Source organism: Homo sapiens, chromosome 21, assembly GCF_000001405.40.
Source record: "Homo sapiens chromosome 21, GRCh38.p14 Primary Assembly".
Lineage (NCBI taxonomy): Eukaryota > Metazoa > Chordata > Mammalia > Primates > Hominidae > Homo > Homo sapiens.
In genome coordinates this window covers 33,086,006-33,102,295 of record NC_000021.9, presented here as the reverse complement: position 1 = coordinate 33,102,295, position 16,290 = coordinate 33,086,006, and the positions used below count along the sequence as shown (strand labels likewise).

The following is a 16,290-nucleotide window of genomic DNA, read 5'->3' as shown; positions in this document are numbered from 1 at the left end:
CAGAGCCCTGGCGTCCTTTGGGCCACACTCAAGTGTCCTAATGAAAAATGGATGGCTGTGGTCTTTGCCCCCAGCTCACTGAGACTGTTGAGGGCAAGGAAACAGCCCCCACCCCCCTGGCTTTTTTCTTGCTCAGTTTTACTTCCAAGCTCTGTTTTCTTAAATCTTTGTAGTCGTGGCCACATTTATAAACTCAAATGTGACATTAAACGGCATCTAATTTGACACTAAATAGTATGCTTAGTAGTTTTTGCTATCATTAAACTGTGTTTCTTGGGGTTCCACAAACAGCCTGCTGACCTCCCATCCCCCTAGCAGGAGGCTGGAGGATGGGGCCTCCCCGCAGAGCCTGGAGCGTCCCAGGGGCTTCTTCTGGGACCTGTCCTCCTGCTTCCCCGCTCCTTTCAGGCCGCCCTGCCACCTGCCCGGCCTGGGGGATGAATGGGAGCTGTCAGCCTCTGGGCAGAGTTATGGAGGCCCACGGGCCACTGGTTGCCTAAGGAACCGGCCCAGGCGCCTCTCATCCCTCCGGCGTCCTCGCTCCCAAGTCCCTTCAGCTCCCACTTGAGTCTTTGTCTCTCTCTCTGGACACCCCAGGCCACAGGCCGAGGTGAAGATCCTGCCCCTGGTTCTGTTGTTCTCAGTGGGCGCCGCCTTCTCGGCCCCCTCCCTGGCCCAGATGACAGCACTTAGTGACCTTTCACACGAGCACTTCAGGCCTTTGTGTGGGGCAATTGGGCTTCCTGCTCTTTCTGTGAGCGGACACGGATGACAGCATTACAACTGTCAGCCCGCCGGGGCGCAGCGGGAGCCATGGGCCGGCAGGGCAGCCCGGGTCCACGCGGCGGCAGTCACAGCCGCAGCAGGGGCGGATAGAGGAAGCTGGGACCATGGTTGGCCCCCTCACGCCCAGCTCGGGGTGACTCAGGCCTCAGGGGAGCGTGTGCATGGAGGCTCTGGAGAGCAGCACCCCCACCTCCAAGGAGGAGCTGTGCATATTCAGTGCCACCTGCCTGTTGCAGAGGAAGGCCACATGTCCCAAGGTGACTCCTGCCCACCTCTGTGGACACAGACTCGGGGCTGCTCCTGGTTATGACTTAGGTGTGCGACTCCACAAGGAAGTCATCTCATCTCTTTATGTATTTATTTTTCTCTCTATATATATTTTTGAGACAGTGTCTTGCTCTTTTGCCCAGACTGGAGTGCAGTGGCTGCGATCAGGGCCACTGCAGCCTCAACCTCTTGGGCTCAAGCGATCCTCCCACCTCAGCCTCCCAAGTAGCTGGGATTACTGGTGTGTGCCACTATGCCAGGCTAATTTTTGTTGTTGTTGTTATAGAGACAGGGTTTCACCATGTTGCCCAGGCTGGTCTCAAACTCCTAGGCTCAAGCAATCCTCCCTCCTTAGCCTCCTAGAGTGCTGGGATTATAGGCGTCAGCCACTGTGTCAGGCCCATCTCATCTCTTTTGACAGTTAGTCGCATAGTTTTCCTTGTTCCAGGTCTATTAGGAAGGAAATATAAAATACCTTCAGCTCCCTGGAGAAAAGCCCTATGTGGAATCCAGACTACAATAAATACAAACTAGAGTGCTACTACTGACTGCATTACTCCTACTATGATTATTACTATTCTCAGAATTCCTCAGAGCCTTGCATTTCCTGATGCTCTGATGGAATATTAAAACTAAGGGAAAGGAAATGGAATAATACAGCCCATATAATTCCAGCTACGTGAAAAATCGAGTTGTGTGTTCGATTATATATGTGTAGAATAAACAACGGGAAGGAAGCACTACTCACTGTTCACAGTCATTATCCCTGGGAGGTGGGTTATACATGACATAGAGTTTCTTTTTCTATTTCAGTATGTATTTGAATTTGATATGAACCTGCATGTCTTTTATAATCAGAAAGAAACAGTAAATGTTTTAAAAATATGCTCATTTGGGAGAGTAGGGAAGGGGGAATAGTTAATGGGTACAAATATTAGAATAAATAAGACCTAGTATTTGCTATCACATCAGGATGGCTACAGTAAAGAATAATTTAATTGTATGTTTTTAAATAAAAGAGTATAATTGGATTGTTTATAACACAAAGGATAAATGGATACCCTATTTACCCTGATGTAATTATTATGCATTGCAGGCCTGTATCAAAATATCTTATGTAATCCATATATACACCTATTATGTACCCACAAAAATTAGAAATAAAAGTTTTTAAAATGCTCATTTATATTTTGTGTGATTGTAAAAGACCCTAGGAATGTTCTGTATTTCTCTTCTGTTTGCTTGAAAATGAAGCAATTGCTGCCTTCCTAGAAGCCGAGGGTAGGTTGTTTAAGAGAGGAAGTCTGACCTGACGTACACATCCACCTTCAAGAAATAACTTCAAAAAGGGCTAAGAGGCTGGTGCGGTGGCTCACGCCTGTAATCCCAGCACGTTCAGAGGCCGAGGCGGGTGGATCACCTGAGGTCAGGAGTTCGACCAGCCTGGCCAACATGGTGAAACCCCGTCTCTACTAAAAATAGAAAAATTAGCTGGGCGTGGTGGCGAGCACCTGTAATCCCAGCTACTCAGGGAGGCTGAGAGGGGAAAAATCACTTGAACCTAGGAGGCGGAGGTTGCAGTGATCGGTGATCAGTGTGGGCAACAGAGCGAGACTCCGTCTAAAAAAAGGGCCAAGAAAGGAACTGGAGTTTGCTCTCCTCCTACCTAAGGTGATGAAAGGCAGACATGGCATATTTTCTGTGCCTTATCCTGCCTTGGAATAATCTAGCAAGTTGTTTTGCAGGGGGCAATCTTTTTCTTTCTAATTTGGTGCTAAGGGAATGGGCAGAATAAGTCCCCGTGTGAGTGCAGATGCCTCAACTTTGTGCAGTTGCCATTCGTGCCCCGAGAGTGTGGTCTCATTGCATCATCACCAGGAGGACCCCTCTGCCCAAGGGTGCCCCAAGAAGCACATACTGAAGGCACGTGTGGAACTCTGGTTAGCATCACTTCCATTTCTGGTAAATAAGAAACCTGGGCCCTTCTGCTGTTTCAGGCAACCCTTAGTGAACTCACGGGCATTTTTTCCTTTTTTTTTTGAGACAGAGTGTCACCCTGTCCCCCGGCTGGGGTACAGTGGCACGATCTCAGCTCATTGCAATCTCCACCTCCTGGGTTCAAGCGATTCTTGTGTCTCAGCCTCCCAAGTAGTTGGGATTACAGGCACATGCCACCATGCCTGGCTAATTTTTGTGTTTTTAGTAGAGACGGGTTTTCACCATGTTGGACATGCTGGTCTCGAACGCCTGATCTCAGGTGATCCGCCTGCCTCGGCCTCCCAAAGTGCTAGGATTACAGGCGTGAGCCACTGTGCCCGGCCAGAATTTTTTGCATTTTAGTAGAGATGGGGTTTCACCATGTTGTCCAGGCTGGTCTCGAATTCCTGAGGTCAGGCAATCCACACGCCTCGGCCTCCCAAACCGCTAGGATTACAGGAGTGAGCCATCGCACCCAGCTGCGTTTTTTAAATCTTCGTCTCATACATCCTCCTCAGTCTTCTAAGAACGTAGACGGGCAATTTGCAATCAACTGAAATCAAAAAGTCTCGTTTTAAGTGTCATAATGATACGGTGCAAACCTAGAAGGCTATCGTTGGGGAGTATTTTTCTTGGTCACACTGGATGTTGGGCAAGTTACCAAGGCCCCCAGACACTTCAGCTTGTCCGACCTTAGAGCCTGCATTTACATTGATTAGTGAATCGCTCAAAAGAAAGCCACAGGCCATTGCACATTAGCTTTGTCTGGTGACAGAGGAGTTGATCCATGCTCTACCTCTCCCTCACAAACTCACCTCTCCCAGCCTTTTTCCTCGATTGGATTGGTTTGACATCTGATTGCAACGTCTTTACAGATGATCAATCTATTCTTTTCAAGGGGCAAATCAAACTCAGAAAATCTCTGTCAACGCAAGAAGGCAATGACAAAAAAGGAAGAGAAATGCTTTAAACCCAAAAGTAGGACTTTGAGAAAAGGCAAGTTGCAGAAGCAAGTGGTCCCGGGACCCAGGCTCATCAGGACGGGGTGAGATGCCTGTCTTGCAGAGGCCCAAACACCAAAGATTTATGATACCTTTTCCTTCATTTTGGCCTCAGAAAAATCCCCTCTTCTCCCTTTAAAGTCATTTCCCAAATGCTCACCAAAGCCTCTCAAAAAATTTTTTTAAAAAAATAAAATAGAGATTTTATTGTAAAAGCAATTTGTGTTAATTGTAAAAAAAAAAAAAAAAAAAAAGTCAGTTAGTACCAAGGAAAAAATAAAAATCAACCAAGTCCCACCATTTGGAGAAAAATACTGTTAACATTTGGCTGACATTTTCTCAAACATTTCTCTTTTTACACATTGAATTCTACAAATTGCTATAGGCTTCTTTCTGTATCTGTCTCTCTAATCAACTAAAGCTCCAGATCATTATTTCAAATCATTTCAGATTATTTCAAATTCAGATCATTATAATGATTGCATAGTATTTCATTATAAGTTCATAGCAAAGTTTGTTAAGCTTATCCCATAAGGATAGTCATTTTAGCTAATTCCTATTTGGTTTTAACATTAAAAGAAACTGGCCAGGTACAGTGGCTGAAGCCTGTAATCCTAGCACTTTGGGAGGCCAAGGCAGGAGGATTGCTTGAGCCCAAGAGTTTGAGACCAGCCTGGGAAACAAAGCTAGACATTGTCTCTACAAAAATTTTTAAGAATTATCTGGGTGTGGCTGGGTGCGGTGGCTCATGCCTGTAATCCCAGCACTTTGGGAGGCCGAGGCGAGCGGATCATGAGGTCAGGAGATCGAGACCATCCTGGCTAACACGGTGAAACCCTGTCTCAACTAAAAATACAAAAATCAGCTGGGCATGGTGGTGGGTGCCTGTAGTCCCAGCTACTCGGGAGGCTGAGGCAGGAGAATGGCGTGAACCCAGGAGGTGGAGCTTGCAGTGAGCCGAGACTGCAGCCACTGCACTCTAGCCTGGGTGACAGAGCAAGACTCCATCTCAAAAAAAAAAAAAAAAAAAAAAGAATTATCTGGGTGTGGTGGGGCGCATCTGTAGTCCCAGTTGCTCAGGAGGCTTAGGCAGGAGGATCGCTTGATCCCAGGAGCTCCAGGCTGCAGTGAGCTATGATTGTGCCCTTGCACTTCAGCTGGGCCGCAGAGTGAGACTGTCTTGGGGAAAAAAGGAGAAACTTTGTGATGAATGTCCTGATACAAAGATCTTTAAGCTCTTTTGCTATGCCTACGAAGAATAAATTATTTGAAGAAAGATTGTAGGTTCAAAGGCTGGGCTCATTAATCATTTATATAATATATAATGTATATAATATATAATACATTATCTATTATAAACTAGAAATACATAAAATTTGCAAGGGACTTTTATGGACCCGAAAAGTTTAGATGTATTCAGTCCTTGGGCATTGGACAGAGGCCAGCATGTCTTTTAGTTACTATACTTAATTTTTACATTCAACCTGTGGGTACTGGAAATTCCCTGGGGACCCACTCTCAGTAAGTGCCTCAACCCCTCTAAACCCTGCAACAGGCTTCTATCCCCCAAACCTCTTAGGAGAACTGCCTTTTCGGTGGGGAGCAAAGAAGGAAACAAGCCTTCATTAACAAAGAAGGAAAGAGGAACTGGCTTGTATTGAAAAACAGCTCGGCTGGGCTCCATGATGGTGGCATAAATCTCCACCCGAGGAGGGGGAAAGCTGCCTTTCCCGGGAGCGAAGTTTAGACCTCAAGAGCTGAATTCTTAAGTTGAAGGGAGAGAAAGTTAGAAGACACTGTTCACTCTAGAAAGTTTTGTTTGTTTGTTTTGTTTAATTGCTTTTCTTCTTTTTCTTTTTTGGTGACAATCTGATTATAACTACTCTGTTCTTATTGACCCTATGAGGCTTTTTTTTCACAATTTGGAAGAATTAACAGTTATAGCCTCCATGAATAAATATAACACTTAGCTCCTTCTTACTAACTAAATGCAATTGGGGAATAAATACAGTGAGTGTTCACACACACACACACACACACACCCACAAAAGAAAAAAAAAGAAAAAAAGAAAAAGGTGAAGAATAGAAAATTGTTTAAGTGGCCAAAGAAACTTTATCCTATTGTGTTGCAGGCCAAGCTATGCCAGCTATATGTAAATGTAAGCAGTGGCCTGTGTTCCTGTGTCCACTTTGAAGTTGCCATCTGAATTTAATTCTGCCTTTGTGATTAAATCAGGCCATTACGTTTAATCTCACTTAATAGTAAGAAACGTCCTTTGTTGTTTTCTATAGGCAACATATTCTGCCCCTAACATATACAGCTTGGTATTCACACTTTACTATTAATCCCCGATGGCTGATAATTGCTTCATCTCCAAGCCCTCTGTCCAATTCACAAGGGGCTGATTGCAACTATTCTTCCCCTATACATTAATGCACTGTTTGGGTCTTGCTTCTTTGGCTCAGTGAACCCTATCAAGCTGTCCACATTTTCTGGGCATGTGGGTGTATTGTGAGATGTTAAATTAAATTCCGTGTTGACCTCCCTAAACACCAGAATCTATTAGCCCCTGCAACGTAGCTGATTGACAAGTGGAACTACTTTTCCACTCAAAATCCTGCAATAAGAAACAACAACAACAGGCTGAATATTTTGTTTCTAGGCAGAGTCTGGGGTCTTCTTATTGCTGTCTTGTTATTTACATGTTCATGACTACGGCAGGACCAATTGCATTATTGCCACGATGTTGCTTCATTGATCTTCCATTTGTCTGCCTTATCATTTCTCTGGGAGAAATTCTTAGACCCCCCAGAGAATCACCATGCATTGCTTTAAGGTTTGAAATTATTTTCTCTTCTTTGGTTTTTTTCCAAAACTGTTTTGGATGGTGAGTCTTAGGGCCTTCACTGTTATCTGCGACTTGAAGAGCTCAGGCATAAAGATCTCAGAGGCAAAATACCAACTGGAACAGGGTTTCTTCCGTCTTTGCTTTTTGCACCAAAGGTAACAGATGCAGCTAATTTTAATGTTAAGCTTTACAAAAGAAAAGAAGCTTTTCTTTCTCTTACCCATTCATTAGCTCGGGCAATAGTTACCAGGCTTTTCATTGTGCTAAATTAGGAATGCTATCATTATCAATTTGACTTTGTGGTTCTAAAAGCACTATTAGCTGCTCATGCCTAGTCCATATTAAGCACATATAGTACCTCCAGTGTGAACGATACCCAGAGCCCGTGCATAGCTGCCTCCTCCTGCCAATAGCTTTGCCCGGCTTTACACACTCTCAGCCTCACAGCTGCTGGTGGGACTCTTGGAAAATCCACGTGGCTATTTTAAATTTTTTCTGATTTTAAAAGCAATCTCATAAAAGTAATTTTATTTTTATATATTATATAATATAATGTATATACTACAGAATTATATAGGTAATAATTATAGAAGAGTTTTCTTATAGGAAAATCTTAAAAGTTTGGAAAAACTAAAGAAAAAATAAAAATCATTCTAAATCCCACAGATATAGCTGTTGTTATTATTTTGGTGTATTTTCTTTTCTTTTCTTTTTTTTTAGACGGAGTTTCGCTCTTGTTGCCCAGGCTGGAGTGCAATGGTGCGATCTCGGCTCACTGCAACCTCCGCCTCCCTGGTTCAAGCAATTCTCCTGCCTCAGCCTCCCAAGTAGCTGGGATTAGGCAATGCGCCACCACGCCCGGCTAGTTTTGTATTTTTAGTAGAGACAGGGTTTCTCCATATTGGTCAGGCTGGTCTCAAACTCCCAACCTCAGGTGATCCGCCTGCCTCGGCTTCCCAAAGTGCTGGGATTACTAGTGTGAGCCACCGTGCCCGGCCTGTTTTGGTGTATTTTCTAGAATAGCTTTCTTCTATAACTTACATGTGAATAGACTTGTAATACAGATAAAAATACATACGTAATTTTTTTGGATTTCCAAAGTGTTTTATTAAATTAAATGTTAAATAATTGAGGCCCTGAGAAATGTGTGCCCTACAGTGAATAAGTTCCCTTATTTTAAAATAAACCTTTTATTTTGGAATAATTTTAAGTTTACAGAAATGTTGCAAAAATAGTTCAGAGAGCTCCCCTATACTCCTCACCCAGTTTTCCCTATTGTTAACAGCTTACCTAACTACAATACATTTGTCAGAACTAAGAAACACATTAATTTATCATTATATATATTATATATAATTAGGAGTGTACATTTTCTTAATCTGCTTCCTTCACCATGTAAATAAACATTTTTCTATGTCACTAAATATTCTTATTATCATTTTTTAAAAGAAGAAACTAAGATAATAAGTATGACCGTCCAATCAGTTAGGTTCCAGGTAAAATACAGTGTCTAATCAGGAAGTGTCTGTCTAATCTGGTAGCGTCTCATCAGAAGGCTGCTTCCAGCAAAGCCCTGGTCATGGGGGCACCCTCTGGAGGGGAGCTTTACCCAGGGGCACCCCGTCGCCAGCCAGGAACCTGCCCCGGTATCCATGCCAGGGTCTACTGAACACCTTTGGCGGCATCAGCCGTGAGCCTGGGTCTGGCCTTTGCAAAGGAGATTCTGAATGTGAGCAAAGGGAGTCCAGGCATTATCATTTCCAGCTTCTCTTTTTAAACATTACATTGAAGATAGAATGTTTTCATTAAAGAAATTTTAGAAAATGTATATAGAACAAAAGAAGCAAACATAAAGCATTCTTACACAACCACTCAGAGATAACCACTGTCAACAAGTAGTTAGGTATTTGGAATCACACTGCTTTATAATTTACTTTTTCACTGATATTAGAATCATTTTCCTCTAACATTTAATATTCTTATAAAATTTCACCCCAGGGGGTGGCATAGAATTTTATCCTATGACTTTATCTTAATTATTTGATACTATCTTACATTTTTGGATATTTAGGTTGTTTCCAGCTATTTCCTATTATAAAAGGTACTGTGATTTTTTCTCATTATATTATTTTTTCCTTTGTATATTTTTTCATTTTATATATATTTTCCTATTATAAAGGGTGTAACTAGGTAACATGCCTTATTATTTCCTCAGGAAAGATCCTCAAAGGTAGGATTAGTGGGTAAGATAGAGGTTGCCCAGTTGGTGCGTTTCCTGAGTGCTGTTTTCTAAGAGCTTCAGAAAAAAACAAAAACAAAACCAAAAAAAGACGCTGAATTTCACTGCATTTGGTGGGGGAAACACTGTGAAAGTGAGATTCTCAGAAGAAAACACCAAACCCTCATCACGGCTTTGGAAAACTGATTAGAAAGTTCTGTCTGGTCAACTGTGACGCTACCCAGTGGATCCCACGCAAGCAGACGGGTGTGTACAGGAGTGGGGGAATCAACACAGACACCAGCACCCCAAAAAGCCTCCCAGGACCTGGCAGAAAGACGATCAAAATAAAAAATAAGGGCTGGACGTGGTGGCTCATGCCTATAATCCCAGCACTTTGGAAGGTTGAGGTGGGTGGATCACTTGAGGACAGAGTTCGAGACCAGCTTGGCCAACATGGTGAAACCCCATCTCTACTAAAAATACAAAAATTAGGCACGGTGGCACGTGCCTGTAATCCTACCTACTTCGGAGGCTGAGGCAGGAGGATCACTTGAACCTGGGAAGCGGAGGTTGCAGTGAGTGGAGATCATGCCACTGCACTCCAGCCTGGGTGACAGAGCGAGACTCCATCTCAAAATAAATCAATAGGAGGAAAAAAAAGAAGCAATCACACATTGTCATTTAGTGGCTCAAAATCACATTACTGCTGTGAATTATCACATGTTCAAGATACACACACAAGATCAAAGCTTGTGTAAGTTACATCAGGCTCTTCACTTCTTCATGCAGAGCTGGGACTTGTTACTGCCCATATTACTGCTGTGTTGCTGGGCTCTCAATTCCAGGATACTTTCGAGCTTGAAGCCTGTGTGAATTTATTACAATTGAATGTATCTGAATTATCTATACATGATGATGGTTCTGCTACCTTATTGAATGGGAATTGCTGATTTTAGTTTTAGTTTATGCGAAGTTAAATATGGGATTAAACGTATAATTCTTTTTTTTTTTTTTTTTTTTTTTTTTGAGACAGAGACTCACTCTATCATCCAGGCTGGAGTGTAGTGGCACAGTCTCAGCTCACTGCAACCTTGAGCTCCATGGCTCAAGCGATCCTCCCACCTCACCCTCCCGAGTAGCTGGGACTACAGGCACACGCCACTATGCCTGGTTAGTTTTTGTGTTTTTTGTAGAGATGGGGTTTCACCATGTTGTTCAGGCACATCTTGAACTCCTGATCCTGCCCACCTCAGCCACTCAGACATATAATTTTTAAGAAAAGGTTTCTAAAGCATTTTGCCAAGTATAAAAGAGGAATGTTTTAAAGTTGTGCTGAAAAATAGAAGAAAAATGCTAAAACTATCTCAGCCTCAGATACATTTCTTGTAACACTGTGTTAATTAAAAGTAAGTCACCAGTTCTATAAAAGTCACAATCCTCTGGCTGGGCGTGGTGGCTCACACCTGTAATCCCAGTACTTTGGGAGGCTGAGATAGGCGGATCACCTGAGGTCAGGAGTTCGAGACCAGCCTGGCTAATATGGCGAAACCCCGTCTCTACTAAAAATACAAAAATTAGCCAGGCATGGTGGTGGGTGCCTGTAATTCCAGCTACTTGGGAGGCTGCAGCAGGAGAATCGCTTGAACCTGAGAGGCGGAGGTTGCAGTGAGCTGAGATCGCGCCACTGCACTCCAGCCTGGGCGACAAGAGCAAGTCTCCATCTCAAACAAACAAACAAACAAACAAACAAAGTCACAATCCTCAGCAAACACCATCTATAGTAGGAGTTGATTTTAAATGGATTGAGTGGGGCAAGCTCCACAAAGTGTTTGTTTTAGTTCAGGCATGGCCTATCCTTCACCCCTAATTCCTGGGAGAGAGAAGCCAAAGAGTGAATATCTTAATGAAATAAGAGCAGATGCCAGGAAATAGAAAGATGAATTATATGTTCATAAAATAAGAAGACTAGAGCTTCCTCGGGCACCCATGTGGCCTGTGGAACTGGCCTTTCCTGTGTTTGAAATGCACATTTCTTTTGCATTTTGTAGCCCTGGGTATCCCTAAGCAAAGCCCTCACATCATTTATTTATTTCACAGCATAAGATTGGTAGCCAGAGGAGCTATTGGCATTGTGTTCTCAAAGTTTCAATTCCATTATATAAATTCTTCAGAGATCTGGGAAGGAGTTTACTTTTTGGAATGGTCTTGTTTTCTATTTGAATACACAATTGAAGCAGTTAGATTAAGATCGCATTCTGCTACCTGACTCTAATAACCTGCCTTCCTCTCTGTCTTTCTCACTGCATCCTCTGTCCTGCCTTATCTTCCTTCCCCTGCTATCTCCCTCTCTCCTCCCCATGTTTATCCAGGGTCTGCCCTATTTTCAGGGTCCCTGGAGGGTGCAAGGTGAAGTGAGATCTCACCCCTGCCCTGGAGGACATGCAAGGGAGAGGGAGGTTGCCTCTGCCTAAGTGGTCAGAGAGGCATGGGGCCGGCATTGGAGCCAAGTCTGAAGAGTTTGTAGGACTCTTTTGGAGGGACAAAGGGGGCACAGGGAGGCTGACTGGATGGCGGAAAGAGTGGCAGTGTGAGCAGCTGTGAAGGCAGGAGAGTGGCAAGTGCGGTGTTGGCAAATGCAGTGCCTGAGGGAAGAAGGGGGAAATAGAGCAAGCTTGGGGGCAAGTTGAGGGGGTTGGTCTTGGGTGACTAGCCACCGGTTGGGAATGGGAATTTCTGTGTTTTTGATATCCTATCCTACAGGGATTTTGCTCACCAGACTGATAAATGTTAATCAAAAGCACTCAGCAGGCTGGGTGCAGTGGCTCACGCCTGTAATCCCAGTACTTTGGGAGGCTAAGGTGGGCGGATCACTTGAGATCAGGAGTTCGAGACCAGACTGGCCAATATGGTGAAACCCCATCTCTACTAAAAATACAAAAATTAGCCAGGTGTGGTGGCTCACCCCTGTAATCTCAGCTACTCAGGAGGCTGAGGCAGGAGAATCACTTGAACCCGGGAGGCAGAGGTTGCAGTGAGCCAAGCCAAGATCACATCACTGCACTCCAGACTGGGGCAATAGATGGAGACCCTGTCTTTAAAAAAAAAAAAAAAAAAAAAGCACTCAGCAGAATGCAACACATGTATTGGGTAGTGTGATGGTTAATACTGAATGTCAACTTGACTGGATTGAAGGATGCAAAGTATTGTTCTGGGTGTGTCTGTGAGGCTGTTGCCAAAGGAGATTATCATTTGAGTCCATGGACTGGGAGAGGCAGACCCACCCTTAATCTGGGTGGGCACCATCTATCTAATCAGCTGCCAGGGAGGCTAGCATAAAGCAGGCAGGAGAAGTTAGAAGGACTAGAGTGGCTGAGTCTTCCGGCCTTCATCTTTCTCCCATGCTGGATGCTTCCTGCCCTCAAACACTGGACTCCAAGTCCTTCAGCTTTTGGGCTCTTGGGCTTACACCAGTGGTTTGCCAGGGGCTCTTGGGCTTTCAGCCACAGACTGAAGCCTGCACTGTCAGCTTCCCTATTTTTGAGGTTTTGGGACTTGGACTGGCTTCCTTGTTCCCCAGCTTGCAGATGGCCTGTTGTGGGACTTCACCTTGTGATCTCATGAGTCAATTCCCTTTAATAAACTCCCCTTCATATATACATCTATCCTATTCGTCCTGTCCCTCTAGAGAACCGTGACTAATACAGGTCATATGTCTACTTTTTTGAGAGGTTCCCCAGCTCCCGCTGGAAGATGGAGAAGCCAGCTAGGTATAGGCATTAGTCACATATTTCATTCAGCCAAACAGTCTAACAACGGTTGAAACACACGGTTGAAACCCTTCACTTCTACCAAACTCGAAGATTATTTTCAACAGATAACCTTGTGCTATCATGAATCTGTTTATGCCAATTTGAAATGACATTGCATAATCTAGTCTGCTTTGATGATATAAATAATACCTGCTTCCCTAAAGGAAACTGTCCCTGGGCCCACAGGGAGCCTGGCATGCTCTTATAGGGGTTGTGCGGCTGGAACCCCATGTGACAGCTCAAGATGGAATCAGAAAGTCTCCTGGCAGGCCGCTTCTCACTATGGCCCTGCTATGGACCTGCAGAGAGCCGCTATGGAAGCTCCCGCCACAGGTGGCCTGAGGAGATGATCAGTCTTTAGGACAAACATGCGTGTGTTTATGGGATTACTGTGCAGGCCCACAGGCCAACTGTGAGCACTGTGCTGACTTTAGGAAGCGAGCTAAGAAGTTTGAGGCCCATTGGGTTTTGAAGCGGAGGTATCTTTTCTACCGGAGCTGCCCCTCCAAACTGAAGCGACTGATTTTTCAGGCCTTGTGTCTGTGGTCCCTGTATGTCTCCAGGTCAGACGGGAAGGCAGCATTGGGATCTCATGTTAAAAGGGTGATAGTTGAAAAATAAAAATTAGAAAATGGATACTAATGTCCTCACGGCCTCCAAATTCCCTCCTTTTTCTCCTTCTTTTTAAATCTAGAAAGCCTATGGGAAATGATTAGAAATGATGTAATTTGAGAGGAAAAAATAGCATCGTCAAAGAGAGTCTGAGACTTGGCATCATGGCTCTCCCGCCCCCTGGGAAGTATTCCAGCTATTCCTGGCTGAGCCCGTTGTGAATATTCCCAGGGTAATTCCCTGAATACAGGCTCCCAAATCAGGAAGGAGCTTCGATGATCACCCTTATTGATGGGGTTGAGATCATTGTGCAGTGGCTTGAGGGAGCCCCATATTTTGCTTTTCAAAAAAAAAGGACTCATGATTTTTATATCCACTCTCCCAACAACCCCCGCAAGCCTCCATCACCTTCTGCCAGCCAAGATAAATCTGAGTATTCCAGGTTTCTTTGAAATGGAAACCTCAGTAAATAAGATCCAAGACTGACTTTATGAATTTGTTTCAATGCTGACGCCTGTTAAATCAACAAAGAATAAAAAATAAAGAAGAATTTAAATGTTAGAGTGACAGCCCATGTTTACAGTTTAGCAAAACAGCGTTGCTTCAGAAATCAGTGACAAAATTAAAGCGAGGATTGGGCTTTTGGTATCTGTCTGTATTATTTTGGCATTTGTAACTCATACTATTTATTTATCCATTAATCTGGGCACGATTTTGTAAGCTACTTGAAGACAGAAGCAGAGTTTAAAGGGACTGGAGCTCTTGGCACAGGTCAGCTTGCTTATTTCAAGTGTGAATCACAAACCTAGAATGTCGGAGAGCAGCTGAGGTGGGCTGGGGTAGTGCAGAAGGGAATAGAGGAGACTGAGGCCCGAGGCGGTTATCCTCCCTCAGCTCTAACTTACTGGGCCATGTGGAAGCTGGGCCGGTGCGGCCATGTCTTCTAATTTTTCTAGAGAAATTCAAAATCTGCATTTGTCATGTAAAATCTTCCAATTTGCAAATGTTGATGACTAATTCATTTAGTTGATAGAGTTCAACTTAGTTGAATTAGTTCAACATACACCTGCAGCTGCTTTAACCCACAGGCACTTGAGGCTGCCTTTGGTTTAGAAACTAGTCTAGAAACTGGAGACTCTCAGGCAGCACAGCCATTGACACTGGACCCTCTCGAGTCAAGTCGTTCCATCCCTGGGCAGCCATGCACAATTGGCTGTTCTCGCCCGTGGAGTTTTAGAAACTGCATACCCACCCAGCGTCAATCCCAGCTCAAAGTTCTTCAGGAGTGGAAACTAGATGTGTGCCTGTTTTTATAAAATTATTATTCTTATGATTTTGAGGCAGCATTTTGCTCTCTCACCCAGGCTGGAGTGCAGTGGTGTGATCAAAGCTCACTGCAGCCTCAAACTCCTGGGCTCAAGGGATCCTCCCCATTAGCTGGGGCTACATGTGTGTGCCACCATGCCCAGCTAATTTTTTTTTTTTTTTAGTAGAAATTAGGTATTGCTGTATTGCCCAGGTTGGTCTTGAACTTCTGGGCTCTAGTGATCCTCCTGGGCCTCCCAAAGTGCTGGCATTACAGGTGCGAGCTACTGTGCCCAGGCTGAAATTATATTTTGCTGCGGTAAAATATTCATAAGTAAAGCTTACTGTCTTAACCATTGTTTAAGCGTGCAATTCAATGACGTTAAGAAGATACACATTGCTATGCAGCCATCATCACCATCCATCTGCAGAGCTCCTCTCATCTTGCAAAACTGGAACTCTGTCCCCATTAAACAGCTTCTCATTCCCCCCAGCTCCTGGAAACCACCACTCTATGTTCCCTGTCTATGAATTTGTTCTACTCTAGGAACATCATGTAAGCAGAATCATGCAGTATCTGTCTTTCTGTGACTGGCTTATGTCACTTAGCATAATGTCCTCAAGATTTATCTATGTTGTAGCATGTGTCAGGATTTCCTTTCTTTTTTTTTTTTTTTTTTTTTTTTTTGAGATGGAGTCTCTCTCTGTCGCCCAGGCTGGAGTGCAGTGGCACAATCTCAGCTCACTGCAAACTCCGCCTCCCGGGTTCAAGTGGTTCTCCTGCCTCAGCCTCCTGAGTAGCTGGGACTACAGGTGCACGCCACCACACCCGACTAATTTTTGTATTTTTAGTAGAGATGGGGTTTCACTGTGTTAGCCAGGCTGGTCTTGATCTTCTGACCTCGTGATCCACCAGCCTCTGCCTCCCAAAGTGCTGGGATTACAGGTGTGAGCCCCCTCACCCAGCCCTTCCTTCCTTTTTAAGGCTGAATAATATTCAATTGTATAGATACACCACATTTTGTGCATCCATGTATATGTCAGTGGACACTTGGGTTGCTTCTGCCTTTTGGCTATTGTGAATAATGCTGCCGTGAACTTGGATGTAGAAATATCTGAGTCCCTGTTTTCAATTCTGGACATGCCTGTTTTTAAAGGTGATGATTCTAATGAGCCCTCTGCTTTCAGAACGTCTCTCACCTGGCGGTAGCCGGTCCCTTCTCTGCACTGCATTTCAGCCACATCGCCTGTTACATCACCTGACTGTTACAGGTAAATGCCTAGTGCAAGTTTCTGACTCTAGGTGACCTAGCAGAAAAGGAATCAATGGAGGGAGAGTGGCCAGCTCATCAACTCAAGGTGGAGGCTGAGGAACCTGCTTCAGGGGTAACAAGGACAAGTGAGATCCTGCTGCAGGAGTAGTCTACCTTGGATGCCACCACTGTCCCCATTGCCACGAGACA

At 44.2% G+C, this 16,290-nt stretch overlaps 1 annotated feature.

Moving 5' to 3' along the window:
• Positions 5,536 to 8,643: an enhancer, noted in NCBI's record as "VISTA enhancer hs1346". NCBI's record gives its function as "enhancer in: midbrain (mesencephalon)[7/8] | forebrain[8/8]" and the evidence as "EXISTENCE:transgenic organism evidence [ECO:0001131][PMID:17130149]".